The sequence below is a fragment of the Homo sapiens genome, chromosome 3 (assembly GCF_000001405.40).
Source record: "Homo sapiens chromosome 3, GRCh38.p14 Primary Assembly".
NCBI lineage: Eukaryota > Metazoa > Chordata > Mammalia > Primates > Hominidae > Homo > Homo sapiens.
The window spans coordinates 184,400,504-184,420,076 of NC_000003.12; the positions used below are offsets into that span (position 1 = coordinate 184,400,504).

General features: G+C 49.3%; 1 long non-coding RNA gene across 2 annotated transcripts in view, besides 1 other annotated feature; it reads left to right on the forward strand.

Annotated features, from left to right (window-relative positions):
• Positions 1-1,033: 1,033 nt before the first annotated feature.
• Positions 1,034-19,573, forward strand: part of LINC02054 (long intergenic non-protein coding RNA 2054) — a 38,112-nt gene continuing 19,572 nt past the window's right edge. For both annotated transcript variants that reach the window (NR_161199.1, NR_161198.1), the window contains exon 1: positions 1,034-1,182. This is a non-coding gene — a long non-coding RNA (long intergenic non-protein coding RNA 2054). The remainder of the gene's footprint in view (positions 1,183-19,573) is intronic.
• Positions 15,776-16,277: an enhancer, noted in NCBI's record as "H3K4me1 hESC enhancer chr3:184134067-184134568 (GRCh37/hg19 assembly coordinates)". NCBI's record gives its function as "activates a minimal SCP1, AML or CMV promoter by ChIP-STARR-seq in primed H9 embryonic stem cells {active_cell/tissue: H9 hESC(primed)}" and the evidence as "EXISTENCE:reporter gene assay evidence [ECO:0000049][PMID:30033119]".

Below are 19,573 nucleotides of genomic sequence, written 5' to 3' on the forward strand. Positions count from 1 at the left end.
TTAGTGGGGCGTGGTGGCAGGTGCCTGTAATCCCAGCTACTTGGGAGGTTGAGGCAGGAGAATAGCTTGAAACCGGGAGGTGGAGGTTGCAGTAAGCTGAGATTGCACCACTGCACTCTGGGGTGACAGGGCAAGACTCCTTCTCAAAAAAAAAAAAAAAAAGAAAGAAAGAAAAAGAAAAAAGAAAAGAGAAACGATGCCAGGTGGCTGTTCTCTTTGCACATCTGGATGAAGACCCAGAGGCTGGGGTGACACTAAAACTCCACAGCCTGAGCCCCATCCAGCTGATGGCAAAGCAGATACTTCACAACTGCGCCTTGGTGAGAAGTGAGTTTGGACACCCCAAATGAACTGCAGTTGGGAGCAGCTCCCAGCTCCAGCTCCAGCTCCCTGTTCATTTTCCAAGAGGTGGCAACAGCCAGAAGGAGTCTGAGATGTGACTCCCAGGGAGGAGGGGTCGCTCCTGAGGATCAGTCCAAAGTTGCTACAAGGCTGGACGCCCTCTCTCCATATAGCTGTGGTTACCTTAACAGTTTGCAATGTGTGTATTCATTTTGGTTGCCAAGAAGACTCAGCTGAGTAGATGTGGGCTCTGTAGACATTGTGAGAAGAAGGGAGGCAGGGAAGTGTGCTTTGCTAGTGACTTGGTTCTTGACCACCATCACCTCAGTTTTGTGACGACTTCCCGGAAATACGGCCAGCCTTGAACTGGCAGCAGTTTAGTAGAGTGGTATGAACCGAGAATGACACTTGTTAGCTGTGTGACTTTGGCAAGGCATTTGCCATGCCTGAGCCTCAGTTTGCTGCAACATGGTCTTAATGATGGTTACCTGCATGATTGTCACAAGGACCATAGAAAACGTATGTACATGCTTGGCGTATAGTTGGCACTGAATGCCGTCACTGTAATTGAATCTGACAATGGGTGTGAGAACCATTAGGGAGGGGTGAAATGCTCCCCATGCCCATGAAAAGGTGGAGGGGACTCAGTGCTCCGGCTTCTATTATGTGATGCGACAATAACTATTACTGTGGGCATGACCACAGCCTTTCTACCTTTGGCAGCCTGTCAAAGGGAATCTTCTGGAGCCAGCCTCTTCCCTCCTTTCCCACCCGAGAGAGGAAACATTCTTGCTGGGAATGAGGCTGTCAATCTACCTGATTAAGAGTGAGAGAAGAGAGGTGGGGTACAGCGGTGAGGGCTGTAGGGCTGGAGGGGGTGGGTAGGTGTGGAGGAGAAGTCTTCAGAGGCATGTGTGGGTGAGGGGGAGTGGAATGAGAGCAAAGAGATTCTAACATTCTGGGCTGTGTTTATAGGTCTTCTTTAATATTTTTCAAGATATGAATTAAGTGAAATTTCTCTTTCTTGGTAAAATATATATAACATAAAATTTACATTTTAAGGCTGGGTGTGGTGGCTCACGCCTGTTATCCCAGCACTTTGGGAGGCCGAGGTGGGTGGATCATGAGGTCAGGAGTTCAAGACTAGCATGGCCAAGATGGTGAAACTCCGTCTCTACTAAAAATACAAAAATTAGCTGGGTGTGGTGGTGGGTGCCTGTAATCCCAGCTACTTGGGAGGCTGAGGCAGAGAATTGCTTGAACCCGGGAGGCGGAGGTTGCAGTGAGCCGAGATCCAAACAGAAACTCTGTACCCATTAAATAATAACTTCTCACCCTACCTCCTCCAGCCCCTGGTAACCTCTATAACCTTGATTCTACTTTCTGTCTCTACACATTTGCTTATTCTCTATCCTAGACATCTTATATAAGTAGAATCATACAATATTTGTCATTTGTGTTGAGTTTATTTCGCTTAGCATAATATTTTCGAGGTTCATTCATGTAGTAATATGCATCAGAATCTCATTCCTTTTTAAGGCTAAATAATATTCCATTATATGTACAGTCATTCCTTAGTATCCATGAGGGATTGGTTCCAGGATCCCCGAAGATGTCAAAATCCAAGGATGTTCAAGTCTCTGATATAAAATGGCACAGTATTTGCATATAACCTACACCTATCCTCCATATACTTTAAATCCTCTCTACTTATAGTACCTAATACATTGTAAAACTATGTAAATTATTATGCTGTATCATTATTTATTTATTGTTATATTGTTACTTTTTCATTTTATTTTGTCTTCAATACATATACTTATTTTTATTTATTTATTTTTTTTTTTGAGATGGAGTCTCACTCTGTCGCCAAGGCTAGAGTGCAACGGCACAATCTCAGCTCACTGCAGCCTCTGCCTCCCAGGTTCAAGCTATTCTCCCGTCCCAGCCTCCTGAGTAGCTGGGATTACAGGCATGTGCCACCATGCCTGGATAATTTTTATAGTTTTAGTAGAGACAGGGTTTCACTATGTTGGCCAGGCTGGTCTTGTACTCCTGACTTCAAGTCATCTGCCCGCTGTGGCCTCCCAAGGTGCTGGGATTACAGGTGTGGGCCACCGCGCCTGGCTGTCTTCAAATATTTTTGATCTGTGGTTGCTTGCATCCCTGGGTGGGAAATCGTGGGTACGGAGAGGGCTGACGGTATAGTCCACGTTTTGTTTCTCGATTCATCTGTCGAGGAACATTTGGGTTGTTTCCACCTTTTGGCTATTGTGAATAATGCTGCTTTGAACACTAGTGTACAAGTATCTATTCGAGTCCCTGCTTTCCATTCTTTGGATAGATATTTAGAAGTGGAATTGCTGGATCATATGGTAATTCTGTGTTTAATTTTGGAATTTTTCTTTAAGTGCCTTTGGCTGTCAAACTGCATCTTTTGTTCTCACGATGGTTCTCAAATCCTTTCATTCTGTTATAGTTTCTCCCCCTCTTTATTTCATGCCATTGATTTGTTGGAGACACTGGCTAATTTGTCTCTAGAGAATGATCTACCGCTTAGATATATTTGTTCCCTACTCACAGTGTCATTTAATTTGTTCCCTCATCCCCCATGTTTCCTGTAAACTGAAAGTTAAATACAGTCTTCATTGGATTCTGGTTCAAGTGTGTGACAGGAATAGCCTATAGAAGTGCTCTGTGTTTTTCACTGGATCCTATCAGGAGCTACCAAAATGTACTTCTTTTTTTTTGGAGCCAGGGTCTCACTCTGTCTTCCAGGCTGGACTGTAGTGGCACCACCACAGCTCACCGCAGCTTCGACCTACTGGGCTCAAGTGATCCTTCCACCTCAGCCTCCCAAGTAGCTGGGACTACAGGTGCACAGGTGTATGCCGCCATGCCTGGCTATTTTTTTAATTTTTTGTAAAGATGGGGGGGGGGTCTCACTATGTTGCCCAGGCTGGTCTTGAACTCTTAGACTCAAGTGATCCTCCTGCCTTGGCCTTCCAAAGTGTTGAAATTACAGGTGTGAGAAACCATGCCTGACAAAATGTACTTCTTAAACATAAACATAAATTTACTCTGAGAATGACCCACCTGGGTATGTGGGGTAAAACCTCTTTATTCTGTGACATGAATTCTTAATTTATGTTTATTATTTGTTTATTTATTTACTTTTAGAGACAGGGTCTTGTTTTGTCACCTAGGCTGGAGTGCAGTGGTGTGATCATGGCTCACTGCAGTCTTGACCTCCCTGGTTCAAGTGATCCTCCTGCCTCAGGCTCCCAAAGTGCTGAGATTACAGGCATGAGCCTGTGATTGTGCAGTGGGATGATCTCAGCTTACCGCAACATCTGCCTCCCGGGTTCAAGTGATTCTCCTGCCCCAGTTTGCATTCTTAATTTCATTCATAATGCTCTGGGGTAGGTACTATCACTCCCACTTTATAGAAGAGGAGACTGAGGCTTAGAGAGATTAGATAAGATGTGCAAAAAAACACTGTTAGTAAGTGGCTGAGCTGGGATTCAAAGGAAGGGACTTGTGGAACATGGATTTGACGGGTCATTTCAGCTTTAAGGGAGAGGTCAGCTGTCCAAGGGTCCGCAGACTCAGTGCCCAGGATCCAGGTCCCCTTGAGGAAGGATTCATGGGGCCTCGTCTAGTCCACAGCGCTCTCTAGCAAGTTGTAGCTGCTTCACTGTAGATTTTCGTGAGATCTGCAAGGTACAGAGGATGTAGAGGAGTGGTTCTGGCCTGGGAGCTTTTACAAGAGAATGATGCTCTGTTCCTAAACCAGAATCTCCAGGAATGGGGTCTGGGCAGCGACAGTTTTAAAAAGCTCCCCGGAGACTGTGATGCAGGTGGAGGATAGGATGCAGGCAGGCCTTAGAGGCCTGGGCAGGGCTGTGACTGGCCCTTCCTTGGTGCAGAACTTTCCCTCAGAGCAACCAGCCAGGGAGGGTGCAGTGACTTTGCTATACCTTGCTTAAAAGCCATGGTCTGCCGGGCGCGGTGGCTCATGCCTGTAATCCCAGCACTTTGGGAGGCCAAGGTGGGTGGATCACTTGAGGTCAGGAGTTTGAGACCATCTGGCCAACATGGTGAAACCCCATCTGTACTAAAAATAAAAAAAAAATTAGTGAGATGTGCTGGCACATCCCTGTAGTCCTAGCTACTCGGGAGGCTGAGGCAGGAGAATTGCTTGAACCTGGGAGGTGGAGGTTGCAGTTAGCCGAGTTCATGCCACTGCACACCAGCCTTGGCGACAGAGCAAGACTCCGTCTAAAAAAGAAAAAAAAAAAAAAAGGAAAAAAAGCCGTGATCATAATCTATTATTTGTGTCCATGAGAAGAAAGATTGTTCTGTGGTGGTACCAGCAGCCTCAGGAATCTCCTGCGGAAGCCTCCTAAGCCCCACACACTTGTGGGTTCTGGGTAAGCTGCTTATCTGTCTCTGCAGTGTGCTGGGGCAATTGCTGTCAACTGCCAGAAGGTAAGGCCAAAGCCTTTCCCCTTGCTGTGCTTCTGCAGGTGCCCTGCAGTCAGGGATGAGAGTGGAAATAGTGATGGGGGTTCGTTTAAATTAGAGCAATGCCCTGGATCAACGGAGGTCCTTCTTCTCAGTTGCTAGTTTCACCATCCTTTGCTCCATCGGCCGCTGTCTCCCAATCCCTGCCTGCACCTCTGTCCCTGCTGTTTGCTGGTCATCTCTGACTACCAGTCTCTGGCCACCTCCTGCACCTCTGACAAGCATCTGTCACTCTGGCCCTCGGTGCCTGCTGCTCATGTGGGGATGACGGCCCACCCTCATCCTTGGTCCTTGGGTTGTGGGGCAATGCTCACTCTTTCACCACTACCTAGAACTCTCCCCAGACTTCTGGGACCCACGGTCTTCCTAGTTCCGTTTAGCTTTTTAAGGGGGAAGTGGGTGTGTGTGTTTCATAGCAGAATTGCTTGAGCTCCTAATGGTGGTCCTCCCCCGCCTCCCACTGGGTTTTACTCTGCAGCCTTTTACAGTGAGGCACGCCTCCTCCTCCTTCATCATCACCATCATGACCATGTGCTGAGTATCCCGAACTGACAGCACTGTGATGAGAGCGTAACATACACGTGGTCCTCAGTAGGAGCGTAGGAGGATTGATCGTAGGAGGTTGTTAGCATTGCCATCCCATCCCTATGTTGCAGATGAGGAAAACAAGGTACACAGAAGTTAAGTAGTATTCCAAGGGAATGTGGCTGAGTGGATTCCTCATGAGATAATTGCTCCCCCCACCTCCTGCCCCTTAAGCTCAGATCTTTGCCTTCCAGGAGGGAGGTGAGTTTGGAGGATTCAGGAGCAGCCTCCCAGAGCACCCTGATTGTTCTGCTGTCCCTGACTGTCACTCCGAGGTGCTGAGTCTGGCCCACTTCCTCATGCGTGGTGATTTCTTTCTTGGGGTACAGTCACCGCACATGTTACAGGCCTCCACTGGGCCTCTATCCCCCACCCCCACCCACACCCACTGGAGCATTATCGCTGCCTGTGCCTGAGTGAACCTCAATGTGATTAGGGTTCAAGCTGTTTTCCGTCGGGCACAAAACACATCTCTTAATGTCTCCAAGCATTTTGTGACAACTTAGTTGGCACAAGGGTGTCTACAGGGTGGTGTCGCTTAACTCCACTGGCCACTGTGTGAGTGGGGTGCGGGGGGTGGGGGGGTGGTAAGGTAAGAAGTCAAAATGTCAGTCATCATGGTCTCCGAGTGCCAGGATTCTTGCTGAAAACTGCTGTTGTTTTTCTTATAGTTTTTGCTATACCAAATACTTAGTACTTGCATAATCAAAGTAAAATAAACGTAATCTGGGAATTTTTTTTTTTTTTTTTGAGACGGAGTTTTGCTCTTGTTGCCGAGGCTGGAGTGCAATGGCACAATATCGGCTCACCACAATCTCTGCCTCCCGGGTTCAAGCAATTCTCCTGCTTCAGCCTCCCGAGTAGCTGGGATTACAGGCATGCCCCACCACGCCCGGCTAATTTTGTATTTTTAGTAGAGACGGGGTTTCTCCATGTTGGTCAGGCTGGTCTTGAACTCCGACCTGAGGTGATCCGCCCTCCTCGGCCTCCCAGAGTGGTGGGATTACAGGCGTTAAGCCACAGCACCAGGCCGGGAAAAACTTTAAAAGCATAGAAGAGGCAGGGCACGGTGGCTCACGCCTGTAATCCCAGCACTTTGGGAGGCTGAGGCGGGCAGATCACCTGAGGTCAGGAGTTCGAGACCAGCCTGGCCAACATGGTGAAATGCCGTCTCGACTGAAAATACAAAAATTAGCTGGGCCTGGTGGCAGGCGCCTGTAATCCCAGCTACTTGGGAGGCTGAGGCAGGCGAATCACTTGAACCCGGGAGGCAGAGGTTGAAGTGAGCTAAGATTGTGCCGTTGCACTCCAGCCTGGGGGACAAGAGCGAGACTTCTCTCAAAAAATAAATAAATGAATAAAATAAAATTAAAAAATAAATAAAAATTTTTAAAAAGTACAAAGAAGAAAATGAAAATCTAAAATCTTAATACCCAGGAATAACTACTGTTGATTTTGGTATAACTACCTAGACTCTTCCTCTGCTGTTATAGATATGCATGATTGGGGTTATCATGCTCTTTTGGTCACAAATAACAGAAATCATCCCTAATAAGATTAACCAAAAAGGAAAATGTACTCAGATGATGGAGGGGGTTTGAAGAACGTGGGGCGCTTGGCCTTCTGAGGCTGGAACCAGGAGTCAGGAAGCTGTCTCTGAACAGGACTGAGGACAATGGATTTGTTGACCGCTCCTCATGTTTTCCCCACTCTGTCCCGCTTTGGGGATTCCTCTCCCAGTCCACGTGGCCCTGGGGACTGTCAATCACAGAGTTTCCACCCCCCCCAACCTGCAGATTCTCACAGACATCGGGGTGTTCTTTGGCCCACTTATTAACTCAGGGCTGAAGCGTGCTCCGAGCGTCCGAGTCTTCCTTGGGATAGGCCCATGGACAGCATGGAAGGAGTTCTCATTTCCCTAGCTGGTGATAGAGTCTGGCCCTTCTGAAGGCTTTTATAATTACAATGGGGCAATAACTAAATCCAAGTAGGGTAAGGAAGTGGAGAGAGGAACAAGGCAATACCACACCTACTTAGCAGCTGGTAAGCTCAAGTCATTCTTTTTTGCTCAAGCTGATTGGATCTGGGTTTCTACCACTTGTTTCTGAATAAGGCCTGAACAATACCATTTATCTTGGCTCATCTGCTACAGTCCCTTCTTTTTATTTGTTTGTTTGTTTGAGATGAACTCTCACTCTGTCGCCCAGGCTGGAGTGCAGTGGCGCAATCTCAGTTGACCACAACCTCTGCTTCCCGGTTCAAGCGATTCTCTTGTCTCAGCCTCTTGAGTAGCTGGGATTACAGGCGTGCACCATCACGCCTGGCTAATTTTTGTATTTTTAGTAGCGATGGTGTTTCAACATGTTGGCAAGGCTGTTCTCGAACTCCTGACCTCAAGTGATCCACCTGCCTCAGCCTCCCAAAGTGCTGGGATTACAGGTGTGAGCCACCATGCCTGGCCAGTCCCTTGTTTTTGAATGCAGGTCTTTGCTGCTTTTCCAAGTCCAGAAGGGTGTGTCCACTGCCTGGCAGTTTCTAGATACCCAGTCCCACCCATGCTCAGAGACTTGCTGGTTGTGTTTGAGTCCCAAATTCCCAGAGAAGGAATTTGCTTAGAGAATGGAATCACACAGGAATATGATGGCTGCCAGGGGCCCACCTTTGTGGAGGTGTGGAAGTGTAGGTCGGGAGGGATCACAGAGAGAGAAAGAGGACTGTTCTGAGCCAGACAGGCCTCCTGGAGGGATTTCTTAAGCGTCACTTTGCATATTTTTGCGTGGGCGGCCGTGATACAGTGCCACTGATTCCTTAGTTTCTCTTGCCCTGAAGATGTCAGGATCTGCCTTTTGCTCTGGGCCCCCTGCCTCCTGTCTCCTACTCTGGGCCTTTCTGCTCCTTCCCTGGGCTCCCCCTATCCACCCTTTGCTCTAATCAAGGCTCTGCTCTGGACAGACTTTGCATTCTTTTTTTTTGAGGCGGAGTCTCGCTCTGTTGCCCAGGCTGGATGGAGTGCAGTGGCGCGATCTCGGCTCACTGCAAGCTCCGCCTCCCGGGTTCAAGCCATTCTCCTGCCTCAGCCTCCCGATTAGCTGGGACTACAGGCGCTCACCACACCCGGCAAATTTTTTGTATTTTTAGTAGAGACGGGGTTTCACCGTGTTAATCAGGATGGTCTCGATCTCCTGACCTCGTGATCCGCCCGCCTTGGCCTCCCAAAGTGCTGGGATTACAGGCATGAGCCACCGCGCCTGGCCTGCATTATCATTTAGTCAGAGAGACTTGAAGTATGCAGAAAACTCCGATGACGCGGAGCGATGTGAGGAGCAGTGGGGCCCCTGGAGATCACGGAGGGAGACATGCTCCCAGCTAGGGGAATTAGGGCAGATCTCATAGAGGAAGTGGGTCTTGAGCTGAGCCTTGGAGGACCCCTACACGCAGACACTGCAAGTGGACGGAAGGACCCAGGGCCCTGAGGAGAGTGTGGATTCAGTGGGGCTGGAGGAGGAATATGGAGTGGGAGGATAAAACTGGACAGGCAGGCCCGGGGCGGCTTGTGGAGGGCCCTGAATATCATACATATCTGCGCTAGAATAACCAGGGGCCTCCAAAGCTCAGGGCTGAGAGGATGGCTGGGAGTTACCTGTCTCTGTGGGCTGATACCACACTCAGATGTGGGAGAGCAGGTCCGTGCCCAGGGCTGGGCCTCAGAGGGCCCAGTACTTTGGAGTGCCTTCCTTGCAATGTTCTAAACCCTTCTTGGATGTCTGGGCTGGGCCGACAGTGCTAGCTGGGCTGGGTGCCCAGTGCCTGGACGGTCTGTGTGGGTCATGGTTTCTAGAAGCCTGTTCCTCAAACATTTCTCTGATGACAGAGGCCAGCCAGAGCTGCCCTCCTGGCAGACATGAGTCTGCCCAGGCCCTGTTTCTCTCCTTTGTGGTGTTCTCTGCCCCCTACTCAGGGTGTGAGGTCAATCTGATGCCCTGAGGAGCTCCAGCACGTATGCCTATTCCAGGAGGGAAGCCTGGTGATTGAATTGCTCCCGTTGGCACGCACAGTATTTCTTTTGTGGGATCATGTGAGTTTGGTCCACCTTAATTTGTCAGACACAGGATGAGTTCAAGGTTCTGGGCTGCAGATGGTCCACTACCAACTCTTGGCTTGATTGTGAGTGTGCCTAGGCATCAGCCCTCCCACTGCACTCCAGCCACAGTGCTGCCTCAGGTCGACAGTACTCGAGTGTACCCGTGAGCCCTCCTCACTTTGTCAATGGCACTAGGGCGGCCAGCCCAGCCCTTCTGTGGTCTCCACACCACGTCAGGCAGTCCTCTGAGGGTGGCCCACCTATCTCCTCCGAGGGCCCTCAGCACTGGCTCACAACACCAAGGGGCCTTCCCATGGATGTCCTGCTTGCCTTGACAGTTATGTGAGAACCAAGGAGACTGTTCTCTCTGTCCATGGGCCCCCTGGCCGATCCTTCCTGCTGGTGGTGTGTGGAGCTGTAGGGGGTCAGCGGGGAGAAAGATCACATTCTAGGGATTCGGCAATTATGGCCTGAAGAGTTCTAGAGCAGTCATGTTTGGGTGATGTGCTGTTTTATGTTTATGCTCTACAATTCTAAATGATACATTTAATATAATCAGAACACAAAGAATTGCTCTTTTTTTTTTTTTTTGCATACTCTGGGTGAGACTTGCCTTGGTAATCATTATCGAGGAATCACCATCACCACCTTTGAGAGAGCCACTGGAAGCCAGTCCTCAGGGGCTGCACTGCGGATGATGCAGTGTGGAATTATGATGCAACCAGCCTTAAATACATGGTGTTAAGGAATTGCAGAGGCAAAAAGGTCTATATTGTTTCAATATAAACAGGTTTTCTAAAGCAATGACATTGTGGATAATTACTGTCTTGCTACCTGAGATTTATGAAGTTAGTCAGGAATGACAAATTTGATCATAACAAATGTGAAGAGACGGGGCCGGGCGTGGTGGCTCACGCCTGTAATCCCAGCACTTTGGGAGGCCAAGGCGGCGGATCACCTGAGGTCGGGAGTTCGAGACCAGCCTGGCCAACATGGTGAAACCCCATTTCCACTAAAAATACAAAAATTAGCTGGGCGTGGTGATGTGCGTCTATAATCCCAGCTACTTGGGAGGCTGAGGCACGAGAATCTCTTGAACCCGGGAGGCGGAGGTTGCAGTGAGCTGAGATCACGCCATTGCACTCCAGCCTGGGCAACAGAGCGAGACTCCATCTCAAAAAAATAAATAAATAAATTAATTAATTAATTAAATAACAAATGTGAAGAGATGGTTCCTGGACTCAACAGGAAAAGATGGGTCCTGTACATTCTGAGGAATCTTCATGTTCATTGACTGGACAATAAACAAATACAAAAGGACCTCTTCAATCAATCTGTATCACTCCTGTGGACTCATGACTTTTTGTAATACATTATAAAATGAAATTGTTCATGTTGACAGGAGCCCACGAAATGTATTTGCCCAGGGCCTGCAGATCCTAGGAGTGCTTTTGCCCTGGGCAGTACTGGAGAGACCATAGGCCCCTACCCGCCACCCCTGTGGCAGTTCCATCCATTCTGGCCTTGAGGGAATGGTCACTTCCCGCCCTTGGGACCCAAGGCTCTGCATCCTGTGCCTGCATGCTGGCCTGGCCCCATGCACCAGGTAGACACGGGGGACAAGAAGTGTGTCATGGCATAAGAGACCTGGCGTGGGGAAGGAAAAGTCACAAGTCAGGAGGAAGAGATTGGTGGGAAGAGACATACGGGTCAGTCTCTTTTGAAACCAGGTGAACAGCCCTAGCCAGGTGTCCAGGCTGTAAGCCAGGGACTCGTCCTTGAGTCCCCCCGTCCTTCACCCCCACAGTCAGTTAGTCACTATGTCCAGCCAGTTCTGCCTCATATATATGGAGCTTGCATTTGCCAAGGTTCTCCGGAGAAATAGGACCAATAGGAGGTACATATGTACATCCTATTATTATTATTATTAATTATTTGAGATGGAGTCTTGCTCTGTCACCCAGGCTGGAGTGTGGTGGTATGATCTTGGCTCACTGCGACCTCCATCTTTCAGGTTCAAGCGATTCTCCTGCCTCAGCCTCCTGAGTAGCTGGGACTACAGGTGCGTGCCATCACTCCCGGCTAATTTTTGTATTTTTAGTAGAGATGGGGTTTCACCATATTGGCCAGGCTGGTCTCGAACTCCTGACCTTGTGATCTGCCCGCCTCAGCCTCCCAAAGTGCTGGGATTACAGGCGTGAGCCACTGTGCCCGGCCGTACAAGCTATTATTAGATATACTACGTATTACGGGACTTGGATCATGTGATTAGGGAGGTGGGAGGTCAAGAAGTCCCACCGTCTGCTCTCTGCAAGCTGGAGACCCAGAAATGCTGGAGATGTAATTAGGTCTGAGTTCAGCTATCTGAGAACCAAGAGCTCTGATGTCTGAGGGTGGGGGAAGATGTCCCAGCTCAAGAGGAGAGAGGAAGAAAATGTGTTCTTCTTCCACCTTTTTGTTCTATTTGGGCCCTGGGGATGACACCCACCCACCTTAGTGAGGGTGGTCTTCCGTGCTTAGTCTACTAATTCCAGTGCTAATCTCTTTTAGAAACACCCTCACAGGCACACCCAGCAGTAATGTTTTCTTAGCTATCTGGGCACCTCTTAGCTCAGTCAAGCTCAAGCATAACCTTCACCATCACAGAGCTATTCTGACTTCCACCTCCTCTTCCTCCTATTGCCCCTGCCTCAGTTGAGGCCTTGCGGTCTCTGTCCTGGACCACTGCAATAGGTTCCTCATTCCTCTTGCTCTGATGGTGCTCCCTCTCCCCATCTCTTCTAGACATTTTTCTCTTTCCATTTGGTATCTATTTTTTTTTATGACAGCTTTAAATGCATCTAGTTTTTTGTTTTGTTTTGCTTTTTTGAGACAGGGTCTCACTCTGTTACCCAGGCTGGAGTGCAATGGCACAATCTTGGCTCACTGCAACCTCCACCGCCCAGGTTCAAGTGATTCTCCTGCCTCAGCCTCCCTAGTAGCTGGGATTACAGGCGTCCACCACCGCGCCCAGCTAATTTTTGTATTTTTAGTAGAGATGGGGTTTCACCATCTTGGCCAGGCTGGTCTCGAACTCCTGACCTCAGGTGATCCCCCTGCTTTGGTCTCCCAAAGTGCTGGGATTACAGTGTGAGCCACCACGCCCAGTCAGTTCTAGTTTAAAGAGTCAAGTAACTCAAGATGACTTTTTACCAAAAACAGTAGCCTCTTCCCATCCTTCCTCTTCAACCCCTCCCCCACTCACCCCAATTTACTGCTTCCTATAGGCAACCACTTTCCACTCACAGAGCTGATTGCTTTCCTGCTTACCTGAGTGTGTATGTGAGGATGAAGGGAGGATGCTTCGTTGCAAGCTTTGCTGCAGAATGGTCTGGGCTGGGCCAGGCTTCTTAATGAGGAGTGTGGATGTCAGAGTCTTTAGGGCTTTCTTTGTGGGCTAGTCAGGTTCCTGCAGATGGCTCTTCCAGTCCTGGCAGGGATTAGGGACCTGGCTGCCAGTGTTGGGGAGAAGACAGGGAAGAGGCTGGGGACAGGGCATATTTCTGTCTTCGACTTGTAACTCCTGTTTGATCCCATTTTTGGTGTGGTGGCCCTGCCCTCACTCTGCTTGATGTGCTAGTTCAGAGACCCCCGATTTTACTTTTTTAGAAGAAAAACACCCAAGTCTGTGAAGGAGCAGGAGAAGATGAGGTGGGGGGAGGAGCCAATCCCCAGTTGTCCTGTTTTTGGCTCCATCTTTACCGGCCTCCTCTTCCCTGCTTTCAGAGGACCTGGTGCCACCAATACCTGAACCATTTGTGGGTCTGGGGTCTAAAGAAAATTGGCTGTTTACTTCCCTCATGGTTCAGGATTGAGCTTTCTTGGTTCTAATACGTTGGTTGCCATTTTTCTAGCTGCTTTCCAGTTTCAAAATGTTGCTATCGATGTCTCTTCAGTTCTCTTTTTCCTTATGGATTTTTTTGTCTTAAAAAAAAAAAAAAGAATTTCAGAAAGGAGTGAGGATAAATGTACGTGCCCAGTCCACCACTGTTAAGCTACTGGAGAGATCCTTCTAGCATTTCAATCTGATTATGTCTTCCTCCCGTTCAAAATACTTCCATGGTGCCCCATTGGCAGTAGGATAAAATATAGAAGCCTTGTGAATGGCGTTTTTGGGCTATGCCCTAAATCAGGGCTCACTCCTCTCCTGGACTAGACTGTACTTGATTCTATTAATTTTAATGAAACAAATTTCAGGACACCTAGAAACGGACAGACTCAAAACGTTTACTTTTTTCCCCTATTAAATGGCAACGCTAGAACAATGCTTAGCTATCACCTTGCATGACCTTTAGTTCTTTCTCGCTGGGAAACTGTAATTGCTGAGCAGTTAGGAACCCTGAGATGACTGGGTTTGGTTTGGGTTAAAGCTCAATGCCGGTGTGGGGTGTGTGTGTGTGTGTGTGTGTGTGTGTGTGGCATGTGTGTGTATATGTGTGTGTGTGGCGTGTATGTGTGTGTGGGGTGTGTGTGGTGAGTGTGTGTTTGTGGCACGCGCGTGTATGTGTGGCATGTGTGTGGTGTGTGTGGCATGAGTGTGTGTGTGGCTTGTGGTATATGTGTGTGTGTGTGGCGTGTGTGTGTATGTGTGTGACGTGTGTATGTGTGTGGTGTGTGTGGCATGTGTGTTTGTGGCGCACATGTGTGTATGTGTGTGTGGCGTGTGTGTGGTGTGTGGGTATATGTATGTGTGTGTGTGGTGTGTGGGTATATGTATGTGTGTGTGGTGTGTGTGTATATGTGTGTGTGTGGCGTGTGTGTGGTGTGTGGGTATATGTATGTGTGTGTGTGGTGTGTGGGTATATGTATGTGCGTGTGGTGTATGTGTATATGTGTGTGTGTGTGTGTGTGTCTTCCTTCACACCTGCAGCCTTGAGCCTCTGCAGGGAATTTCCAGTTTATGTTGCCAGCAACTAGAAGGCAGACTCTTTTTTGTATTCTTTCCGGGGCATAAATTGCAGCTGGTGATGAAATGTATTCAATCTCTCTCACTACTAAATCACATCGGACCACACAGATACTTGGCCTAGGTAATCCTATTAGACCTAAACCAAAGGGGCAGGCTTTCCCCTAGATGGATCATGAAGACGCAAAACCGTGGGGTGGGCTGGCAGGGTCACCCGAAAGTGAGGAGCACTGCCATCTGTTTTCTCTTCCCTCTTAGTGATAACATGAAGGAATTGTCCCGAACAAGTGCATTTCCCTTCGGTAGGCCTCACTACCGAGGCTATTGATCAGCTTACTCTATTACCACATCAAAGGAAAATGCCATCATGGGTGGCTCCGGCAGAGCATTTGGGTTCTTGGTGATTTTGCTAAGAATCTCTGAGGAGAGGCAATGAAGGCTCTTAATTGCATATTTCCTGTGTACTCATCCTTCTTCTCCAAAACAAATGACATTAGCTTTCTTTTTTTTTTTTCTTTTTTTTTTTTGAGATGGGAGTCTCTCTCTGTCACCCAGGCTGGAGTGCTGTGGCACTATCTTGGCTCACTGCAACCTCCGCCCCCTGGGTTCAAGCAATTCTCCTGTCTCAGCCTCCCGAGTAGCTGGGACTACAGGCGCCTGCCACCATGCCCAGCTAATTTTTGTGTTTTTAGTAGAGACGGGGTTTTACCATATAGGTCAGGCTGCTCTCGAGTTCCTGACCTCAGGTGATCTGCCTGCCTTGGCCTCCCAAAGTGCTGGGATTATATGCGTGAGCCACCGAGCCTGGCCTAACTTTCTATTTCAACTGCACAGAACTACCCATACGTGTCAGCAGGGGCCTACTTTCCTTCACATTAGGTTTTCACAGTCTTTTCCCTCTGCCTGGAATACCTGCTCTGCCTTTTCTGCTCCAGCTAGGTTGGCATATTTGCAGGTTTCAAATCTGCCTGTCATATTCCATCCTCAGAGCCTTTACGATGACTGTTCCGTCTGCCTGGAATGTTCCGCCCTGACGTTTCCGCATGGCTTGCCCTTCATTTCATTCAATCTCCACATTTCCACTCAAATCCTACCTCTCAGCCATCACTGTCAATTGCCCTCCACCCGAAGACCACCAGGATCCCACCTATAGTGGAGCACTTGGGGTTTATGGCTGGTTGCAGTGAAGGGGAACGCACGCCATGGGGCACTGTGGGCGTATCAGTGAGGGGGTGTCAGAAAGAACTTGTAGGGTTTGGGCTTGTTTCTGTCTAGTTCCATCACAGCCACAGAGTGGCCTTGTCTGATGTTGATGTTCTGTGAAACTGTTTATGTTCAACAGGAGAGCACCATGGGCCTGCAGTGAGTGCCAGGCCAAGGTCTGGACAGCAAGAACTGCTTTACTCTTCTTCACCACTGAATCCTTAGTGCATAGAACAGCAGCTGCAGGGAGGGTGGCAGGTGTCGAATGAAAACGTATCGAATGAATCGATCAAGTCTGTCTGCCTGGCAAATTCTTACTCCACATTCAAGTGCCCAGCCAGAAGCCCCTCTTCTGGGTGCCGTCCCTGACTCTCCTGGGCGGACCCTGATCTGGGCCCGGGCTGTGCCTGCAGAGTCTCACTAGAGCGGCTCCTGTGAGTCATGTCAGGGGGCTCTGCAGCCAGTCTCCCCACTGTGCTGCGAATGCCTTGAAGGCAGAGACACATCCCTTCCCTTAGAAGCCCCAGTGCTAAATACAGAGCAGGTGCGCCATAACTTTAGTGTGACTGACAGACCAGCTGCAGGCCCAGCTCTGCTGTGTTTGAACTGTGCCTCTGGCAGGGGCTCCAGAATTCTGTGTGTGTTCCCTGAGAGTATAGGACCTGTGGGCCACTGGGTGGGAAATCATTAAACAGGAGAAGCCCAGGCCCCAGCAGCCAGAGGGTATGTTTGTGAGTTTGTGATTCTCTGGGACACCTTCAGGGCCTGAGGACTTTGGCCCCCATGTGAGGCCTCTGCAGTGTGACTCCATCTGGGCCTGGCTCCTCCTCAAAAAATGCCCCCAACCAGGAGCGGTGGCTCACGCATGTAATCCCAGCACTTTGGGAGGCCAAGGCGGGCGGATCACCTGAGGTCAGGAGTTTGAGACCAGCTTGGCCAACATGGTGAAATCCCACCTTTACTAAAAATACAAAAATTAGCCAGGCATAGTGGCACACGCCTGTAGTCCCAGCCACTCTGGAGGCTGAGACGGGAGAATCACTTGAACCCAGGAGGCAGAGATTGCAGCAAGCCAAGATCGCACCACCACATTCCAGCTTGGGTGACAGACTGACTCTGTCTCAAAAAAAAAAAAAAAAAAAAAAAAAGACCCCCATCCCTGTCGCCCAAGGCCCAGAGGAGGCTGATGGAAGCCCGCAGTTTCCAGGAAGGGCAGAGGAAGAGGCAGTAAGAGCCCAGGCACCTCCAAAACAGGGGCCATGGGCGGGGGGCGGAGAGGGAGGAGGGACCTGGTTATCTGGCTCTATTCTCACAGCAACCCCTTAAGGTATATACAACTATTATCTTTATTTTACAGATGAAGAAACAGAGGCACAAAGAGGTTAAGTAACTTGCCTAGAGATACACAGCTAACAAGTGGCAAGTGGGATTTGGACTCAGGTCTATCTAATCCTCAAACCCATGTCCTGGACCCCTACACAGACTGCCCTCCCTCAGTCCTCTGTGTGGCCTCAAGAAGGGTCTGGACATTCAAGTTTAAAAATCCATCCAAAGAATCTATGGACCCAGTGGTCTCTGGAGTCAATGTTCTGAGGCTCAGAAGGGCCAGGCAGGAGGGAGCCGCCTCTACACAGTCCTGAGCAGAGTGGGCTGTGTCCCGGCACAGCAGGGGAGATCATAGACAGAATTCTGCCCTGGGCCCTATTTAAGTAGGACCTTTAGGCTGCCGGTGTCATGACCACAGGTCCCAGGTCTGCACGATTGGCTGTGTGTGGAAAATCTTCACTCCTTGCGGCCTTGTCCTTGGCAGAGAGCACCGCTGCTTCCTCTGATGGCCACCAGGGGGAGGCGCTCCCCTGGGAACGGTTTGAAGGGGAGCCTCACCCCACACGTGCCTTCCGTGGTACCCAGCACCAGCTGCTACCCATGGTTACCCACAGGCCCAGCTCTGCTCTGAGGAGGGAGGAGTGGTGGCGATCAGGCCTTGTCTGCATCCCGTGGCTGCCCCTTTCTTTTCTTTCTTTCTTTCTTTTTCTTTTTTTTTTTTTTTTTGAGATGGAGTCTCACTCTGTTGCCCAGGCTAGAGTGCAATGGCACAGTCTCGGCTCACTGCAACCTCTGCCTCCCAGGTTCAAGCGATTCTCCTGCCTCAGCCTCCCAAGTAGCTGGGATTACAGGCATGCGCCACCACGCCCAGCTAATTTTTGTATTTTTAGTAGAGACGGGGTTTCACCATGTTGGCCAGGCTGGTCTTGAACTGCTGACCTCAGGTGATCCACCCACCTCGGCCTCCCGAAGTGCTGAGATTACAGGCGTGAGCCACCGCCCCCAGACGTGGCCTCCCCTTTCAAAGAATAACCCTCAGCGTGTGTGTGTGTGTGTGTGTGTGTGTGTGTGTGTGTGTGACTGGGGAACACACGGGCTCAGTCTGTTATCCTGAGAGGAAATTCATAGTGAAGCATAAAAGCCCCTGAGTGGGCTGGGGACAGTGGCTCACACCTGTAATCTCAGCACTTTGGGAGGCCAAGGTGGGCAAATCATTTGAGGTCAGGAATTCAAGACCAGCGTGGCCAACATGGTGAGACCCTGTCTCTACTAAAAATACAAAACTTAGCCAGGTGTAGTGGCGCATGCCTGTCGTCACAGCTACTTGGGAGGCTGAGGCAGGAGAATCGCTTGAACCTGGGAGATGGAGGCTGCAGTGAGCCAAGATCCCACCACTGCACTCCAGCATGGGCAACAGAGTGAGACTCCATCTTTAAAAAAAAAAAATGCCTATTGGATTTTAATGAAACCATCTCTCCTCTTTTACCTGAATGAAAGCAGACATGGGACTTTCTACAGGTACGGCAGCCTCACAATTCAGTGCTGGACTTCCAGCCAAGACGGCAGAGTGGGCTCACGCTGTGGCCTCCTCTCTCTGTTCCAAACACACAGCAATCAGGAATAAAATAGAAAAAATGATAAACAAAAGGACATAGTTGGGCCCCAACCAAAATGGCTATCTCTGTGTACCACAAGCAGATCAGAAATGCAAATTGGTGACTGGGGCCAGGGGCCTGCTGGCCTCGGGGTCTGGAAACAGCAGTAGCTGCCAGACACAGAGCTCCTGGTAAGGGAGTTAAAGTGCTCCATGCTACAAAGGGGCCAACAGCCAGGTGTCTGGAAGCCAGGGCTCGGGGAAGGTTCCCTCTGCTTGTGAAAAGAATCGGGGGTGGCGGGGATGGAGTGAGGAAGCCAGCTGTCCACAAATAGCTTGGGGCTTGAGTTGTGGGAAGATGAGGACAGACTCTTGACTAGATGCTGAGCCAAGCCACCCTCTGGCTACGTGCTTGTAGCTGTGGTGTCCTCATGCCACAACAGAGTAGAGCCCTGCAATGCTATTGTAAGACCTCAACTGGGCCTGAGGTCCTAGCTCAGGATAGTTAGAGACAGAGTGAAAAACAGATGTAAAAACAAGGTGGAAAACCCTCCAACTCACTGTAAAGTTGTAAGCCAAAATAGATGAGAAACAATGGTAAGAAAAACAGTCAACAAGGCCGGGCGTGGTGGCTCGTGCCTGTAATCCCAGCACTTTGGGAGGTGAAGGTGGGAGGATCACCTGGGGTCAGGAGTTCAAGACCAGCCTGGCCAACATAGTGAAATCCCATCTTTAGAAAAAAAAAAAAGCAAGAAAGAAAAGCAGTCAACAGAATCACCATGTGGAATATGAGTTCACTGCAGATTAAATTAATTTTGTGAAAGTCTTACAAAGAATTAAAAATGTTTAGGATGCCAAAAATGGCAAATGAAGGCTTAATATCCATTGGAAATTAACAAGACATAAATGAAGGCAGATCAAAATGAAACTAGAACAAGTAGATGTGAAAAGAATCAATTAGAAATCTTAG